The sequence below is a fragment of the Homo sapiens genome, chromosome 17 (genome assembly GCF_000001405.40).
Source record: "Homo sapiens chromosome 17, GRCh38.p14 Primary Assembly".
NCBI lineage: Eukaryota > Metazoa > Chordata > Mammalia > Primates > Hominidae > Homo > Homo sapiens.
This window is the reverse complement of record NC_000017.11, coordinates 1,788,033-1,807,998: the sequence shown is the minus strand read 5'-3', so window position 1 is coordinate 1,807,998 and position 19,966 is coordinate 1,788,033. Positions and strand designations below refer to the sequence as shown.

At 44.9% G+C, this 19,966-nt stretch overlaps 1 protein-coding gene across 6 annotated transcripts in view, besides 1 other annotated feature; it reads left to right on the top strand.

Annotated features, from left to right (window-relative positions):
- SMYD4 (SET and MYND domain containing 4) overlaps positions 1–19,966 on the top strand; it is a 50,418-nt gene that overhangs the window by 21,904 nt on the left and 8,548 nt on the right. For all 6 annotated transcript variants that reach the window (NM_052928.3, XM_024450560.2, XM_047435291.1 and 3 more), the window contains 2 exons: positions 3,284–3,373; positions 6,975–8,142. In NM_052928.3, coding sequence (NP_443160.2) covers positions 3,284–3,373; positions 6,975–8,142 — 1,258 coding nt within the window. The remainder of the gene's footprint in view (positions 1–3,283; positions 3,374–6,974; positions 8,143–19,966) is intronic.
- Positions 4,050–4,344: a silencer, noted in NCBI's record as "tiled region #13179; HepG2 Repressive non-DNase unmatched - State 15:Elon". NCBI's record gives its function as "represses a minimal TATA promoter and a strong SV40 promoter by Sharpr-MPRA in HepG2 cells {active_cell/tissue: HepG2}" and the evidence as "EXISTENCE:reporter gene assay evidence [ECO:0000049][PMID:27701403]".

Below are 19,966 nucleotides of genomic sequence, written 5' to 3'. Positions count from 1 at the left end.
GCAGTACTGGTTGTGATGATTACGGTTTTATTATTATATCGATTTATTTGTGAGGAGGGAATCTGTTCATGTAGATTTTAAAAGTGCAAGAGTGTCCAGCGTCATCTGCCTCTCCTGTCCCCTGACCACATGATTTTCTGTTCCCATAAACTAGCACTGTTGAGTATATTTCCAGAGCATACTCCAGGCGTGTGTAAATACAGCCTTCCACTCCTGCACACACACCGTGTTTTTACATCAGTAACATTCTGCGCATATTGTTCAGCACCATGCCTTTTCCACTTAACAGTAATAATTTAAAGGTCATTCCATTTCAGTACATAAAGAGCGTCCTCAGGCCGGGCGCGGTGGCTCGCACCTGTAATCCTAGCACTTTGGGAGGCTGAGGCAGGTGGATCACCTGAGGTTGGAAGTTGAAGACCAGCCTGGCCAAAAGGGCGAAACCCTGTCTCTACTGAAAATAGAAAAATTAGCTGGGCGTGGTGGGGCCTGCGCCTATACTCCCAGCTACTCAGGAGGCTGAGACAGGAGAATCGCTTGAACCCTGGTGCGGGGTTGCCGGTGTGGGGGCCGGGGGGGGCGGTACGCGGAAGTTTTAGTGAGCCAAGAACACGCCACTTCACTCCAGCCTGGGCGAAAGAGCGAAACTCTGTCTCAAAAAAAAAAAAAGCATCCTCATTCTTTATGATGGCTACATGGCGTTCCATTAAATGGATGTATCAATTTATGTAACCAGTGTCCTGTGGATCGATGCTTGTTTCCTGTCTTTTGCTGTTTCAAACAAGTCTATGATGAGAAACTTTGCACAGGGCCGGGCACAGTGGCTCACACCTGTAATCCCAGCACTTTGGGAGACCGAGACGGGTGGATCACCTGAGGTCAGGAGTTCAAGACCAGCCTTGCCAACGTGGTGAAACCCTGTCTCTACTAAAAATACAGAATAAGCTGGGCATGGTGGCGTGTGCCTGTAACCCTAGCTACTTGGGAGGCTGAGGCTGGAGAATCGCTTGAACCCGGGAGGCGGAGGTTGCAGTGAGCTGAGATCACCCCACTGCACTCCAGCCTGGACGACAACGAGAGACTCTGTCTAAAAAAAAGAAAAAAACCCTTGTATGTATGTCATTTTTCATATATAACTGTAGGATAAGTGATTGTATCTGTAGGATTAATTCCTAGAAGAGGAATTGCCTGGTCAATGGATATTTTATATGTATATAAGATATACATACATATAGAATTTTGACATATATTGCTAAATTGCCCTCCATAATTATGAAACCAGTGTACACCCTCACTAACAGCATAATGAGGATACCCATCATCCCACTTCTTGACCAACTCTGTGTGCCATCAATTTTATTTTGCTTTGCCTGATAGGTAAAAAAATGGCATTTCTGTACAGTTGTAATCTGCATTTTATTGATTGTATGAGGCTGAGCATTTTTTTTCACATATTTAGTAGCCATTTTTATTTCCTGTGAGAATTGTCCATATCATTGCCTATTTTCCTGTTGATTTACTGGTTGTCATCTTAGTGATCTGTAGGAAATCTTGACAAAGTAAAGAAATTAGCTCTTTGCCTATAGTATAAATTGCAGATATTTTTTCCAGTTCAGTGTTCGCCTTCTGCTTTTATTGGTTTTTGGTGTGAAGATAGTTTTTATTTTCAGGCGGTCGAGTTTATTAACCTTTGATAACTTCTGGGTTTTGTGTCAGAGTTAGGGATTCGTCCAGCAATACTTTACATGCTTTCTACAGTTCTTCCAGCACTTCTATAGTTTTGTTTTTACATTAAAGAATTTCATGTATTTGTTGGGAGGCCGAGGCGAGCGGATCACGAGGTCACGAGATCGAGACCATCCTGGCTAACACGGTGAAACCCCATCTCTACTAAAAAATACAAAAAATTGGCCAGGCGTGGTGGCGGGCGCCTGTAGTCCCAGCTACTCGGGGGCACTGAGGCAGGAGAATGGCGCGAACCCGGGAGTTGGAGGTTGCAGTGAGCCGAGATCGAGCCACTGCACTCCAGCCTGGGCGACAGAGCGAGACTCCGTCTCAAAAAAAAAAAAAAGAATTTGATGTATTTGGAATTTATCCAATGAAAGATTCATCACTTTATTTTGCTCATTGTCTACCTACTTATACATATATATATATATTATTATTTTATTATTAATTTATTTTTTTGAGACAGAGTCTCACTCTGCTGCCCAGACTGGAGTGCAGTGGTATGATCTCAGCTCCCTGCAACCTCTGCTTCCTGAGTCCAAGCAATTCTCCTGCCTCACCCACCCGAGTAACTGGGATTACAGGCGTGCGCCACCATGCCTGGCTAATTTTTGTATTTTTAGTAGAGATGGGGTTTTGCCATGTTAGCCAGGCAGGTCTCAAACTCCTCACCTCAAGTGATCCACCTGCCTTGACCTCCCAAAGTGCTGGGATTACAGGCATGAGCCACCATGCCCGGTCTCATCCCAGTAGTTTTACTGAGTAATCACCATCTTTCCTACATTTACTTGAGTACCATATTTATGGTTATTATTAATCCTTGCCAATTTGATGGTAGAAAAAAGTATTCTTTTTTGTTTGTTTGTGACAGTCCAACTCTGTCACTCAGGCACTATCTCAGCTCACTGCAACCTAACCTCCACCTCCCAGGTTCAAGCCATTCTCATGCCTCAGCCTCCCAAGTAGCTGGGATTACAGGCGCACATTACCATGCCCTGCTATTTTTTTGTATTTTTAGTAGAGACGGGGTTTTGCCATATTGGTCAGGCTGGTCTCGAACTCCTGGCCTCAAGTGATCCACATGCCTCAGCCTCCCAAAGTGCTGGAATTACAGACGTGAGCCACTGCACCCAGCCTAGTATCCCTTTTTTGCGTTCATTTTCATCTATTTGGCTATCCATATGTGAATTAATCATTTGTTTTCTATAACTATTTGTGTTTCTTCTTTTGTGAATTTCTATTTGTGCCACCCACCCTTTGTTATATTCAGGTTGTAGGATATTATGCTTGCAGGTATGTCCCTCAGTTTTTTATCCACCTTCAGTATTGTTTGTGGTTGAAGCTGTATCTGACAAAGTGCTTTTAATACTGATGTCCTCACTTGCTCTTCACAGCTTTGCTCTCAGGTAGTTAAAAGATAAGCTGAAGCACAAAGAGGTTCAGTAACTTTCCCAGTTTCACACAGTCTTCAGTACTAGAGCCCGGAATATCTGAAAAATGTTCTTCAGAGATGCTGGTGTCCATTTATACTTTTAACCAGTTCATTGTTTTGCAGGGAGTGTCACATTCAAGGCCTAACACTGAGGACATGTCACTGTGTCATGCTAACCGCTCGGCAGCCCTCTTCCACCTGGGTCAGTATGAGGTGAGTATCAGGATACCTGGTATGAGAGGACAGGATCCGGAGGGCTTCTTACTGGAGGACTAGACCTTCATCTCTGCTTCTTCCATAGAACACTAAAATCATGTCATGCTGCTATTGGTTGAATTGGAAGCACATTAATATCTACCTAAAGTCGGACTGGGCGCTCATTGCCTGTAATCTCAGCACTTTGGGAGGTCAAGGCGGGCGGATCACCTGAGGTCAAGAGTTCAAGACCAGCGTGGCCGACACAGTGGAACCCTGTCTCTACTAAAAATACAGGGATAAAAATTAGCCGGGTGTAGTAGCATGCATCTGTAGTCCCAGCTACTCAGGAGGCTGAGGCAGGAGAATCACTCGAACTCGGGAGGTAGAGGTTACAGTGAGCCGAGATCGCACCACTGCACTCCAGCCTGGGTGACAGAGTGAGACTCTATCTCAAAAAAATGTACTAGGCCAGGCACAGTGGCTCATGCCTGTAATCCCAACACTTTGGGAGGCTGAGGCAGGCGGATCATGAGGTCTGGAGTTCAAGACCATCCTGGCCAAAATGGTGAAACCCCATCTCTACTAAAAATACAAAAAATGAGCTGGGCATGGTGGCAGGCACCTGTAGTCCCAGCTACTTCAGTGGCTGAGGCAGGAGTATTGCTTGAACCCAGGAGGCAGAGGTTGCAGTGAGCCCAGATCGCACCACTGCACTCCAGCCTGGCAACAGACTCTGTCTCAAAAAAAAAAAAAACTAACTGAACTCGCCCTTTCTCCTGAGTCATTTCACTGATCACAGGTGACCATATGGGATAGTGTTGATTGACAAGAAAGAGCTATGGGGCCAGGCATGGTGGTTCACGCCTGTAATCCCAGCACTTTGGGAGGCCAAGGCAGACGGATCACTTGAGGTCAGGAGTTCGAAACCAGCCTGGCCAACATGGTGAAACCCCGTCTCTACTAAAAATACAAAAATCAGCTGGGCGGGTGGTGGGCGCCTGTAATCCCAGCTACTCAGGAGGCTGAGGCAGGAGAATCTCTTGAACCTGGGAGGCAGATGTTGCAGTGAGTCAGTGAGCTGAGATCGTGCCACTGCACTCCAGCTTGGGTAAGACAGGACTCTGTCTCAAAAGAGAAAGGAAAGAGCGAGCTATGGGACATTCCATGGGGATGTGGACTGTCCAAGAGGTCAGCAGTGTTCAGTGTCAGGATCAGCCAAGTGACATGTTGCTGCTAATACTTCAGGTTCCAAGTGTTTGCAAAGTATACTGTTTGCTGCTTTAAATAAGTAGAGCGTGTTTAAGATTATCCCTGTAGTAATAGCTCAGCCTTCTTAAGTGTCGTGAGTGCAAAAGGAAAACCTACCTTGAACTGCCCGTGTCTGCCTGTGAGGTCAGCTTTCTGTGAATGACATTCTTCTCATCCCCTAATTGTTGCAACAGAGAAAAAGTTGAGGACTTTGTCAGTGGAGTTTTTGTTTTGTTTTGTTTTGTTTTTTTGAGACAGTGTCTCGCTCTGTCGCCCAGGCGTCAGTGCAGTGGCGTGATCTCTGCTCACTGCAACCTCCGCCTCCCGGGTTCAACGATTCTCCTGCCTCAGCCTCTGAGTAGCTGGGACTACAGGCGTGCACCACCACGCCCGGCTAATTTTAAGTAGAGATGGCGTTTCACCATGTTGGTCAGGCTGGTCTCAAACTCCTGACCTTGTGATCCTCCCGCCTCAGCCTCCCAAAGTGCTGGGATTACAGGCGTGAGCCACTGCGCCCAGCCGTGTCAGTTGAGTTTTTAAAACAGGAAGTGACCAAAATCGGATTAATGTTTTAGGAGGATACCTCTGAGGCATCTGGCATTTGTATTAGAGAGGTCTAAGGACAAGCTCTAAAATGCCATTTTGATACATCTGTTTCAACATTCTACAAAAATTCAAATTATACCCTAGGGTTGAGAACTATTGGAATAGTAAGAAGTCCACACTTACTGCCCTTCAGACTAAAAGAGAAAAGCAGGAATCTAACCCTTGACCCTAAACAAGAAAGTCCTGGACTGCTGAGGCCAGTGATTAGGAAAAAGAACTTGCAATACATTGAACCCTTTATAACTTTTCTTTATTGATTGTTTCTGTTTTCCTTTTTCTTTATTTTTTTTTATTTTTGAGACAGGGTCTCTGTTACCCAGGCTGGAGTGCAGTGACTCGATCATAGCTAACTGTGATCTCAAACTCCTGGGCTCAAGCAGTCTTCCTGCTTTAGTCTCATGAGTAGCTAGGACTACAGGTATGTGCCACCAGGCCTGGCTAATTGTTTAATTTTTTTATAGAGCCCAGGGTCTCATCTGTGTTGTCCGGGTTGGTCTCAAACTCCTGGACTCAAGTGATCCGCCCACCTCGGTCTCCCATAATGCTGGGATTACAGGCGTGAGCCACCATGCCCAAATGTTTTCCTTCTTATAATAATGATTATCATTTATTGAGCACATACTGTGTTCCAGGTGCTCCTTTTGGCATGTTAGATATATTATTTCCTTTTATCCTTAAAACAACACTGGGAGATATTATTATCCCTGTTTTTTAGATAAAATTAAGACACAGAAATTAAGTCGATTGCACAAGGTCATGTGGCTAGTAAGAGGCAGAGTGTATTTGGTTTTTTGTTTGTTTGTTTGTTTTTGAGACAGAGTGTCGCTCTGTCACCCAGGCTGGAGTTCAGTGGCATGATCTCGGCTCGCTGCAACCTCAGCCTCCCAGGTTCAAGCGTTTCTCCTGCCTCAGCCTGCTGAGTAGCTGGGACTACAGGCGCCCACCACCACGCCCAGCTAATTTTTTGTGTTTTTAGTAGAGATGGGGTTTCACCATGTTAGCCAGGATGGTCTCGATCACCTGACCTCGTGATCTGCTCGCCTCGGCCTCCTAAAGTGCTGGGGTTACAGGCATGAGCCACCGCACCCGGCCAGCAGAGTGTATTTGAATGCAGGTCTGCTTGGACTCAAAGCCTGCCTCTTTTTTTTTTTTTTTTTTTTTCAAAGCCTGCCTGTTAGTCACCATGCTATAATTCTTCTATTCATAAGACTTCTTTTTCCTTAAAAAATAGAAATATTTAATCCAGGGGCTGGGCGCAGTGGCTCATGCCTGTAATCCCAGCACTTTGGGAGGCTGAGGCGGGCGTATCATGAGGTCAGGAGATCGAAACCATCCTGGCTAACATGGCAAAACCCCGTCTCTACTAAAAATACAAAAAAAAATAGCTGGGTGTGGTGGCGGGCACCTGTAGTCCCAGCTACTCAGGAGGCTGAGGCAGGAGAATGGCGTGAACCCAGGAGGTGGAGCTTGCAGTGAGCCAAGGTCGCACCACTGCAATCCAGCCTGGGCGACAGAGCGAGACTCCGTCTCAAAAAAAAAGAAAAAATTTAATCCAAAAACATTAAGCATAACAATATCCTCAACAAGTATTGCTAATCACTCAAAGGATCACACAGAACTATATGATTTTAATAAGCATGTGGTTGTAATTGTTCCATTTTTTAATAATCCTTAACTTTCCTGTAGATTTTTGGAAACATTTTCAGTAAACATTGAAGAATAGGGACCAAGGGTCATTGTGGGATTTTCTTTCTGTTTTCAGACGTGTCTTAAAGACATTAACAGAGCACAGACACATGGGTATCCAGAAAGGTTGCAACCCAAGATTATGTTACGTAAAGCAGAATGTCTGGTGGCCCTGGGGAGACTGCAGGAGGCAAGCCAGACCATCAGTGATCTTGAAAGGAACTTCACAGCCACACCAGCCCTAGCAGATGTCCTCCCTCAGACTCTGCAGAGAAACCTCCATCGTCTGAAAATGAAGATGCAAGAAAAGGACAGTCTCACAGAAAGCTTCCCAGCAGCTCTGGCCAAAACCCTTGAGGATGCAGCGCTGAGGGAGGAGAATGAACAACTTTCCAATGCCTCATCATCCATCGGCTTATGCGTAGATCCTTTAAAAGGTCGCTGTCTCGTTGCCACAAAAGATATTCTCCCAGGAGAGCTCCTGGTGCAGGAGGATGCTTTTGTGAGTGTTCTCAACCCAGGAGAACTGCCACCACCGCATCACGGCCTAGACAGCAAATGGGACACCAGAGTCACCAATGGGGACCTCTATTGTCACCGATGTTTGAAGCACACTTTGGCCACAGTTCCGTGTGACGGATGCAGTTATGCCAAGTATTGCAGCCAGGAGTGTTTGCAGCAGGCCTGGGAGCTCTACCACAGGACAGAATGTCCTCTGGGAGGGCTGCTTCTCACACTGGGTGTCTTTTGCCACATTGCCCTGAGGTTGACTCTTTTGGTGGGATTTGAGGATGTTCGCAAAATCATAACGAAGCTTTGTGATAAGATTAGTAACAAGGACATCTGTTTACCTGAAAGCAACAATCAGGTCAAGACACTTAATTATGGCCTAGGGGAGAGTGAGAAAAATGGCAACATCGTTGAGACCCCAATTCCTGGATGCGATATTAATGGGAAGTATGAAAATAATTATAATGCTGTCTTCAACCTTTTGCCCCACACTGAAAACCATAGCCCAGAGCACAAATTCCTCTGTGCTCTCTGTGTTTCTGCACTGTGCAGACAGCTAGAAGCAGCCAGTTTACAGGCCATCCCAACTGAGAGGATTGTGAACTCCTCTCAGCTTAAAGCAGCAGTGACACCTGAATTGTGTCCTGACGTGACTATTTGGGGAGTGGCGATGCTGAGACACATGTTACAGCTTCAGTGTAACGCTCAGGCGATGACCACCATACAACACACAGGTAAGAGGGAACCTGATGTTCCTGCTTTTCAATATTGTTCTCGATGGAGCAGGTGTTTGAGAAGAAACAATTCCAAAGGAAAATAGGATTCAAACAAATCATTGAGCTAATGGGATCACTAAGCTGTCTTGTTTATTGTCACAATGCCATTAAGAAGCTATATGACCTTAAATTATTTGATCCTGCCAGGCGTGGTGGCCCACTCCTATAATCCCAGCACTTTGGGAGGCCGAGGTGAGCAGATCACAAGGTCCAGAGATCAAGACCATCCTGGCCAACATGGTGAAACCCCGTCTCTACTAAAAATAAAAATAAAAAAATTAGCTGGGCATGGTGGTACATGCCTGTAGTCCCAGCTACTCGGGAGGCTAAGACAGGAGAATCACCTGAACCCGGGAGGTGGAGGTTGCAAATGAGCCGAGATCGTGCCACTGCACTCCAGCCTGGCGACAGAGTGAGACTCCATCTCAAAAAAAAAAAAAATTATTTGATTCCGTTCTGCCTCAGTTTCTCATCTGTAAAATGGGTAGTTTTATCCCAGCTAACTTTACAGAGTTGTGTAAAGCTATGTTTGTAAAAATTCTTTTTTTTTTTTTGAGACGGAGTCTCACTCTGTCACCCCCAGGCTGGGGTGCAGTGGCGTGATCTCAGCTCACTGCAAGCTCTGCCTCCCAGGTTCACGCCATTCTCCTGCCTCAGCCTCCCCAGTAGCTGGGACTACAGGCGCCCGCCACCACGCCCGGCTAATTTTTTGTATTTTTAGCAGAGACGGGGTTTCACCATGGTCTCGATCTCCTGACCTCGTGATCCGCCCGCCTCAGCCTCCCAAAGTGCTGGGATTATAGGCATGAGCCACCGTGCCTGGCTGTTTGTAAAAATTCTTTTGAAATTCTTTAAAAAGTCCATATTGCTGAAAAAAAATTTATTTTTTATTTTACTTTATTTATTTATTTTTTTTTTGAGACAGAGTCTTGCTCTTTCCCAGGCTGGAGTGCAGTGGCGCAATCTCAGCTCACTGTAGCCTCCACCTCCCAGGTTCAAATGATTCTCATGCTCAGCCTCCCAAGTAGCTGAGATTACAAGCATGCGCCACCATGCCTGGCTAATTTTTTTGTGTTGTTAGTAGAGACGGGGTTTTGCCATGTTGGCCAGGTGGGACTTGAACTCCTGGCTTCAGGTGATCCACCTGCTTTGGCCTCCCAAAATGCTGAGATTACAGGCATGAGCCACTGCACCTGGCCTTTTAAAATTTTTTTAATAGAGATGAGGACTTGCTATGTGGCCCAGGCTGGTCTTGAACTCCTGGGCTCAAGCAATCCTCCCGCCTCAGCCTCCCCAAGTGCTGGGATTACAGGTGTGAACCACTGCACTCAACCCGAATTTTTTTGGTTATGAAGGAAAACTGTCTCAAATAAATAGTAATAGCAAGTTTCTTATAAGGTACATACACAAAAGGCCTGACACAGTACGCCTGTAATCCCAGCACTTTGGGAGGCCGGGGTGGGTCAAATCACTTACTTGAGCTCAAGAGTTCAAGACTAGCCTGGAAAGCATGACAAAATACAAAAATTAGCCAGGTACGCCTCTAATCCCAGCCACTTGGGAGGCTGAGGCAGGAGAATCACTTCAGCCCAGGAGGCAGAGGTTGCAGTGAGCCATGATCGCACCGATGCACTCCAGCCTGGGTGAAACCCTGTCTCAAGAGAAAAAAAAAAAAAATACATGCACAAGATTCCAGAGAAAGCTATATAGTTTCTCTTTAGGGAGGGCAGAAATAATAGTCAAACCAGACTGCAGAAAGAAGAGGCCCAGTAGTTGGGTAAGGTATCAAAGTCCTTTTTTTCTTTTTTTTTCTGAGATGGAGTGTTGCCCTGTCACCCAGGCTGGAGTGCGGTGGCACAATCTCGGCTCACTGCAACCTCTGTCTGCCAGGTTCAAGCGATTCTCCTGCCCCAGCCTCCCGAGTAACTGGGATTACAGGCGTGCACCCCCACGCCCAGCTAATTTTTGTATTTTTAGTAGAGATGGGGTTTTACCATGTTGGCCAGGCTGGTCTCGAACTCCTGACCTCAGGTGAGCCACCCACCTTGGCCTCCCAAAGTGCTGGGATTACAGGCGTGAGCCACCGTGCCCGGCCAGATATCAGACCCTTAACTCAATCAGCTACTCTCTGTCTTCTCTTTCCAATTGAGAGATATTTCCCATTCTTCTAAATTTCCAGCCCAGCGCAGCCTTCCACCCCACACTGCAGCAGAAGCTGCCAGCCTGCATAGTGCCTGTCCTTTGATCAGGTGGCCAAACCTCAAGGGGCCACCTCTAAACACAGACGAGCTGGCTCAGCCTGCTTTCCTGAACTGGAGCCTATAGATAACACTACTTAAGATAGATGGGAAGGTTGGATGTGCCGAGAATCATGATCCAGCTTGACATCTCCAGTGTGACTGTGCTGACAACAGATACAACTATTATTAGAAAAGTGGCATTTGTAGTCTTTCTATTTTATGATCTTCATTTTAGCAGAAAATGTTTTTTGACTCAATCCGTTCATTATACTTTTCTTAATTTTTTCAATTAACTCTCTTGAGAGGGAGGAAACCAGGTGTTAGCTAAACCGAGTTTTTATAGACAGATGAATATTAAATGTGGCTTCACTAAACTCTACATGCTTAGCTCATTTGATCTCACATTAGGTCATCTAGAATTTGTCAGCCTATTTTGGTGTGCATGTTTATGTTTAATTTTAATTCAGCAGGCAAGTTATATGGTATATAGGTATCTCAGTAGACATGTTTTGGCCAAGATTCTCTTCCCCATCCTGAAGCTCGTGGAACATCTAAAAATAGGACTGGCCTGGTCCCATGATACTACTAAATCACATGTCAGGTTAGCCTGTGTTTTCCTCTGCCCTCCTTTGCTTCTTTGTGCCTTTGCTACCATCTAAAATATAGCTGCTGAGTATTTTTCCAGAATTAGGTTCTCCTTTGGGTATATTCACTTGTATTTTTTAATATACTTTACTTTGTTCTGTTTTTCTGAACATAAAAATATATGGGGCTTCCCAATTAAATAGCAGAAAGTTACCAACTCTTGATTCCATGTCTTGCCTTTAAAATACTTAATAGGGCTGGGCGCGGTGGCTCATACCTATTATCCCAGCACTTTGGGAGGCCGAGGCGGGCGGATCTCGAGGTCAAGAGATCAAGACCATCCTGGCCAACGTGGTGAAACCCCATCTCTACTAAAAATACAAAAATTAGCTGGGCATGGCAGCGGGCGCCTGTAGTCCTAGCTACCTGGGAGGCTGAGGCAGGAGAATTGCTTGAACCTGGGAGGTGGGGGTTACAGTGAGCCGAGATCACGCCACTGCACTCCAGCCTGGTGACAGAGGGAGACTCCATCTCAAAAAAAAAAGAATACCTGAAGCCAGCCGCAGTGGCTCACACCTTTAACCTCAGCATTTTGGGAGGCTGAGGTGGGCGGATTGCTTGAGCCCAGGAATTTGAGACCATCCTGGGCAACAGAGCAAGACCCATCTCTACAAAAAAAAAAAAAAAAAACAGCCAGGCATGGTGGCATGTGCCTGTGGTCCCAGCTACTTGGGAAGCTGAGGCAGGAGGATTGCTTGAGCCGAAGAGTTCGAGGCTTCAGTGAGACATGAGTTGCGCCACTGCACTAGAGCCTGGGCAACAGAGAGAGACCCTGTCTCAAAAAGAAAAAAGAAAAATACATGCTTATTCTGTGGCTAATGAAAACTGGAAGAATAGATACATATCGTAATACTGGCTACTTGGGGTCATGGAAAGTGGTTTGGAGACATCGGCTTTATCTATGAGGTTCTAATGTTTTATGCATAATTTATTGTTTATGTAATGTTTTAAAAATATATACATAGAAGAAACAGTAGAAGCAAAAATACCAAAATCTGAGCAGTGATTAATTCTGAAAGTGGAAATACAGGTGATTGCTACTTTCTTCTTTGAACTTTTCTGATTTTTTAACATTAAAAACACTTATTCACACAGTGGTACCATTATACTATTAAATTTTAAAATGATTGTATACCTTTCCCATAATTCTAGAGGAAAATACTTAAAAAAAAAAAAAAAAAACTCACGGGCCAGGCACAGTGGCTCATGCGTGTAATCCCAGCACTTTGGGAGGCCAAGGCAGGTGGATCACCTGAGGTCAGGAGTTCGAGACCAGCCTGGCCAACATGGTGAAACCCGTCTCTATTAAAAATACAAAAATTAGCTGTGCGTGATGGCAGGTGCCTGTAATCCCAGCTACACGGGAGGCTAAGGCATGAGAATTGCTTGAACTTGGAAGGTAGAGGTTGCAGTGAGCTGAGATCGTGCCACTGTACTCCAGCCAGGGTGACACAGCAAGTCTCTTAGATAGATAGATAGATGATTAGATAGATAGATAGATAGATAGATAGATAGATAGATAGAGCTGAGATCGTGCCACTGTACTACAGCCAGGGTGACAGAGCAAGTCTCTTAGATAGATAGATAGATGATTAGATAGATAGATAGATAGCCAGGGCGACAGAGCAAGTCTCTCTCAGATAGACAGACCAGACAGACAGACAGAAGGCTGAGGCAGGAGGAACACTTGAGCCCTGGAGTTCGAGACCAGCCTGGGCAACATAGCAAGACCCCACCCACTGGGAACAACAACAAACAGAGAACAGCCTGTTTCTATACTGTGTAAACTGCTCCAGCCTGTGGGGAAACCTAGAACTCTTTCCCAGTCATTTTAGAAAGCCGGTGATAAAAGCTAGAGACCAGTCTCACTTGTGAATGTAGATGTAGAAACCCTGGATAAACCACTGCAGTGTCATATCTAGCAGTTTATTGAAGGAATAATAATACATAACCAAGAAGAGTTTCTCCCAGAAAGGCAAAGGTATTTTAATTCGGAGGGATATGAAAGACGGCTTCGATAACCACAGAGACATGCCATGTTCTTAATGGAAAGACTGAAAACTTTGAGTTTCCTGCATTAACCTAATCAGTTTCATACCATTTCAAACAGAATCACAGTTGAGTTTTTCTGGGAACTTGACAACATTCTAAATTCATCTTGAATAAATGGGTGAGAATAGCCTTTTTTTTTTTTTAAGAGAACTGAAAGGTCTTGGTACTGTCAGATTTCATACGAGCATTAAAGCTACAAAATGAAAAACAACTGGAAACTGATGACAGCCCCCCAAAAAGGATTAGAGTCTTTTTCAAATCATTAACAACTTAAATATTTCAGAATTAAACCATCAATTATCTAGTTAAAGGTAAGTGAACATTTATGTAGTCTTAGGGTGGGAGAGGCTTTTTAAAATACTATAGAATGTCAAATTTAGGTAATTAAAAGATAGCTAGATTTAACTACTTAGGTACCAAATACCAAGAACACCATAATTGGTTAGGAAGATAAAGGATGGCCGGGCGTGTTGGCTCAGGCCTGTAATCCCAGCACTATGGGAGGCTGAGGTGGGTGGATCACAAGGTCAGGAGATCGTGTCCATCCTGGCTAACACGGTGAAACCCCGTCTCTACTAAAAATACAAAAAAAAAAAAAAAATTAGCCTGGTGTGGTGGTGGGCGCCTGTAGTCCCAGCTACTTGGGAGGCTGAGGCAGGAGACTGGCGTGAACCTGGGAGGCGGAGGTTGCAGTGAGCCAAGATCACACCACTGTACTCCAGCCTGGGTGACAGAGCAAAACTCCATCTCAAAAAAAAAAAAAAAAAAAAAATATATATATATATATATATATATACACATATATATACACATATATATACACACATATATATATACATACATATATATATACACACATATATATATATACATATATATATACACAAAAATTAGCCAAGCGTGGTGGTGGATGCCTGTAGTCCCAGCTACTAGGGAGGCCAAGGCAGGAGAATCGCTTGAATCTGGGAGGTGGAGGTTGCAGTGAGCCGAGATCACACCACTGCACCCCAGCCTGGGCAACGAGTGAAACTTCCTCTCAAAAAAAAAACACTGCACTGAGAGGCAGAAGACCTAATCTCCTGAACCTCTGTGTATCTCAGTGTCATCATGGACATGATGAGACTGGATAAGCCTCAGAGCCTCTGGGGAAGGCTGTTTGCAAACATGACCACAGTTTCTCCCATCCCTATAAGTTGCCTCTTTGCAGCTTGACATTGCTGCTTCTCTTGTCAAGAAGTGGAGATTTTTTTCCCCTCTCCTTGAATCTGGGCTAGCTCTGTAACTTGCTTTGACCAATAGACAGAAGTGACCTGATGTGACTTTTGAGTCTAAGCCTTAATTGCCTCCACTGTCACCGTCTTGGAGTGATAGTGTAGCCCTGTGAACAAGCCTGGGCTGGCTTCCTTGAGGATAAAAGACCAGGTGCCACAGAAAGGCAGTCATGTGAGTCAGCCCCAGGCAAAACCAGCAGAAAAAAAAAAAATACTCAGCTGAGCCAAAACTGCCGGGGTACAGAATTGTGAACAAGTGAAATTGTCATTGTTTTAACAATCCCCCCAAAAAAACCTCATAAACAAAAATTAGATGTAAATGGACAAAATGAGGGAATATCTCTAGCAACTATACAGCTCTTAAAATCAACTTTTAAAAATATGCATAGCGGCCAGGCACAGTGGCTCACACCTATAATCCCAGCACTTTGGAAGGCTGAGGCAGGAGGATTACTTGAGCCCACGAGTTAGAGACCACCCGGGGCAACATGGCTAAACTCTGTGTCTACAAAAATACAAAAATTAGCTGAGTGTGGTGGTGCGCGCTTGTGGTCTCAGCTACCCGGGAGTCTGAGGTGGGACAGCGGCTCGGGCCCAGGAGGTCGAGGCCGCCGTGAGCTGAGATCACCCCATTGCAACAGAGTGAGACCCTGTCTAAAAAATAGCAAGATAAAAATAAAAACATGCATAATGATGAAAATCTAAAGCCGGGTTGTGGTACTGTTTGCCCAATCTTATAAATTTCCCCCCAAAAAAGCACTGAATCGTACACTTAAGTGAATTTTACGGTAGATGGATTCTATCTCAGTACAGCTGTTGAAAGCACACGTGAGCAAGCACTGTATCGAAGTAGATAGTGATAAGTAAAAACGGTCACTCTCTAACCTCTCTAGTAATTAAAACCAGATACCTTTGTTGGCCTGTCACGGCAGCAGAGTTGTTTTACTGGTTTTGTTTTTGTTTTTTGAGACAGGGCCTCTGTCTGTTGCCCAGGCTGGAGTGCAGCGGCGTGATCTCAGCTCACTGAAGCCTCGACCTCCAGGGTTCAACTGATCCTCCCTCCTCAGGCACCCAAGTAGCTGGGCTCAGGTGTGCACCACACCGGGCTAACTTTTGTATGTTTAGTAGAGACAGGGTTTCACCGTGTTAGCAAGGTGGTCTCCATCTCCTGACCTCGTGATCCGCCCACCTTGGCCTCCCAAAGTGCTGGGATTACAGGGGTGAGCCACCGTGCCCGACCTGTATTTTTAATTCTAAAATGCATTTTAGGCCAGGCGTGGTGGCTCAAGCCTGTAATCTCAGCACTTGAGGAGGCCGAGGTGGGAGGATCACGAGGTCAGGAGATCGAGACCATCCTGGCTAACGTGAAACCCCGTCTCTACTAAAAATACAAAAAATTAGCCGGGCGTGGTTGCGGGCGCCTGTAGTCCCAGCTACTCTGGAGGCTGAGGCAGGAGAATGGTGTGAACCCAGGAGGCGGAGCTTGCACTGAGCCGCGATCGCGCCCCTGCACTCACTCCAGCCTGGGCGACAGAGCGAGACCCCGTCTCAAAAAAAAAAAAAATGTATTTTAGGTTAGGATTTAAAGATAACATGTTATATCTGCCTGATGGCATTACAAGCAACTGTCATTTTCTCTGTAATGTTCAATTTTTAAATTTTTTTCTGACTACCACGTATTCCTTTTGTAATTTCAATTAGTGGTTTTTTGTTTGTTTTTGAGACAGGGTCTCACTCTGTCACTTAGGCTGGAGTGCAGTGGGGCGATCGTAGCTCACTGTAACCTCAAACTCCTGGGCTCAAGCGATCCTCCCACCTCTGCCTCCCAAAGTGCTGGGATTACAGGCGTGAGCCACTGCGCCCAGCCTCAGTTAGTTTTTTTAATAATAAAGATAATTCAAATGATAAGAGTACTTTTCTATGAACATTTTTAAGGCACTTGATACAGCTTGCAAAATTGCCCTCCAGGAAAGTTCCACTGACGCGCCCACCAGCAAGGTTCACTTTCATTGTTAAATTTCATCTCATTTTCTTTTAGTCTGCTCATATTTCTAATCTTGTTATATCCCTTTTTATTATTTCTTTGGGGTTCCAATCCCTCTCAATTTAGTGTTCTCATTGAATTTCATTAGCAGCTGTTTCATTAGTAGTACAGGCAAAGGATTAAAGTGTTAACTAGGATAGACTTTGACAAAAACCTATAAAAATGTATGTTATTATCTTTGCATAAATCCTGTTTAATCAAAGTTCCCCAGAAACCTCTCACTAGGGCTTATCTCAAGGGACAGAACTGGCCACTGATGATTTTCTAGACCGTGACACGTGTGGTTCTGTCTCAGTGGGAATGGCATATTTATGATCTATCCGGATTCCTGTCATAACAAGATTTTATTGGGGTTCTGTGTCCTGTCACTTCCCATCAATTCACTGCCCATTGCTTTCACTCTTCAGCATTGAAGGAATCTATCTTTTTTTTTTTTTTTTTTTTTTGAGACGGGCCAGCCCAGGCTGGAGTGCAGTGGCGCGATCTCGGCTCACTGCAAGCTCCACCTCCCGGGTTCACTCCGTTCTCCTGCCTCAGCCTCCCGAGTAGCTGGGACTACAGGCGCCCACCACCATGCCCGGCTAATTTTTTTGTATTTTTAGTAGAGACGGGGTTTCGCCGTGTTAGCCAGGAAGGTCTCGATCTCCTGACCTCGTGATCCACCCGCCTGGGCCTCCCAAAGTGCTGGGATTACAGGCGTGAGCCACCGCGCCCGGCATGAATCTTTTTTCTTTACTTGAATCCCAGTTTAAATGCACCAGGGATGGGCATGGCTTAGCCAGCACTTTGGGAGGCCAAGGTGGGTGGATCACGAGGTCAGAAGTTCGAGACTAGCCTGACTAACATGCTGAAACCTGTCTTCTACTAAAAATACAAAAATGAGCTGAGTGTGGTGATGGGCGCCTGTAATCCCAGCTACTCAGGAGGCTGAGGCAGGAGAATCGCTTGAACCCAGGAGGCGGAGGTTGCAGTGAGATGAGATCATGCCACTGCATTCCAGCCTAGGCGACAGAGTGAGACTACATCTGAAAAATAAATAAATAAAAAGAAATGCACTAGGGATATTAGCAAGGTACTGTTTTGGTATAGAATCACTCCCTCTTTATTTTAATACAAAATGTCACAGATTAAATTTGGTTGAGGAACTACATACATATTCTCACTTTCTATTATCTCTACTAATAGATGATTAATGCACAATACTGAGTAATTTTTAAAAATCAATACTTAATTTTTTAGAAATAATTAGAGAGCTATTCAACTCTGACATAAATACCCACACGGTTCCTGGGCCTACTTCTGTCAGAGGGTAATCTATAAATAATTCACAAAGCTGACATTACTCACTGTAGTGTGATCATTCTTTTCTGGAAAATTTTAGCAATGGTTCTAATATAGATTGCCAGTTATCAGTAGTTGGCAATGCAAGTCCACTTTTAATTATGCAGAGGCTGATTATTCAGACGACAAATTGTTCATGCCCTGGACGGCTCCTTCCTGCCACCTGCCTTTTAGCATTTTCACTGCTCATTAGCACATATACCAGAAGGTGGGCACCGGACAAGGGGGAGAAGAAGAAACAAAAATCAGCGAAGCACTTAGGAGAAGCTCTGATGAAAGATTTTAATACAATTTGTAGAATTATTAACTAGAATTGAGTCATTTGGATTCCCTGCAAAATGTATTTACTTGTTCTATTCTTGTTCTCCTTAGCAACAGATAGTAAAATTGACAACAAAATTGACAACATTATTCCTATATTCAGTGTTTTCCTTTATAAAACTTTTTTTTTTTTTTTGAGACAGAGTCTCGCTCTTTCACCCAGGCTGGAGTGCAGTGGTGCGATCTCGGCTCACTGCAACCTCCACCTCCCAGTTTCAAGCGATTCTCCTGCTTCAGCCTCCCGAGTAGCAGGGATTACTGGTGCACGCCACCACGCTCAGCTAAGTTTTTATATTTTTGGTAGAGACGAGGGTTCACCATGTTGGCCAAGCTGGTGTTGAACTCCTGACCTCAAGTGATCTGCCCGCCTTGGCCTCCCAAAGTGCTGGGATTACAGGCGTGAGCCTCTGCACCTGGCCTATAAAACATTTTCACATAATGGTTCATAATATTTTCTTTATCCATTACATTTGTACCTAGACTATTTCTTTGGTGAATTTGTTTTTTTTGTTTTGCGAGACAGTTTTGCTCTGTCACCCAGGCTGGAGTGCAGCAGTGTGATCTGGGCTCACTGCAACCTCCTCCTCCTGGATTCAAGCAATTCTCGTACCTCGCCTCCCGAGTAGCTGGGACTACAGGCGCATGCCACCATGCCCAGCTAATTTTTGTGTTTTTAGTAGAGACAGGGTTTTGCCATTTTGGCCAGGCTACTCTCGAACTTCTGACCTCAGGTGATCCACCCGCCTCGGCCTCCCAAAGTGCTGGGATTACAGGCATGAGCCACCATGCCCAGCCTGGTGAGTGGTTTTTTTGAGATTCCTGGCATATATTCGGTGATATCACAGTTATTTGATGGTTTTTTTCCAGTTTTCCAGAAAACTGAATGTTTCCTTTTAAATACTGGTATTTTTTATCTTCCAACCTGTTTTGTTAGAAACACAATTTGCCTCATGCTTAAATTGAGACTACTGAAGATAATTTAAGCGTTTCTGTGTGCCCAAGGTTATCTTTACTGTACATACTCCTAGGACAGATGGCTTTGAGAAAAGCCAGCACAGGTAGAGCCTCTGGCTAAGTGAAGTGTTACAGGTGGACTTTTAAAGTGCTAATTATCCACCATGCTTTCTTTTCTGAAATGAACAAATTTTTTTTTTTTTGGAGGCGGGGTCTCACTCTTGTTGTCTAGGCTGGAGTGCAGCAGCACGATCTTGGCTCACTGCAACGTCCTCAGGGGTTCAAGCGATTCTCCTGCCTCAGCCTCCTGAGTAGCTGGGACTACAGGCACGTACCACCACACCCAGCTAATTTTTTGTGTTTTTAGTAGAGACGGGATTTCACCGTGTTAGTCAGGATGGTCTCGATCTCCTGACCTTGTGATCTGCCCGCCTCGGCCTCCCAAAGTACTGGGATTACAGGCGTGAGCCACCGCGCCCGGCCAAAATGAACAAAATTTTAAAGTAAACTATGGGCCTGAAAAGACCAAAAAAGAAAAAAATAATAAATGTTACAATTAGAGTAAAACTTTTTTTAAATTTTTATTTATTTTTCTTCAGACAGGGCCTGCTCTGTCACCCAGGCTGGAGTGCAGTGGTGCAATCCTGGCTCACTGCAGCCTCGCTCTCTAGGGCTCAACTGATCCTCCCACCTCAGCCTCCTGAGTAGCTGGGACTACAGGTGTGCACCACCACAGCTGGCTAATATTTTAATTTTTTTTTTTTAGAGACCAAATCTAGCTGTGTTGTCCAGGCTGGCCTTGAACTCCTGGGCTCAAGCAATTCTTCTGCGTGAGCCTCGGGATTTCAGGCAGGAGCCCTGGTGCCTGGCCTGCTTAAATATATAAAGTTTGGGGTAGTAACTAGGTCGCTTGT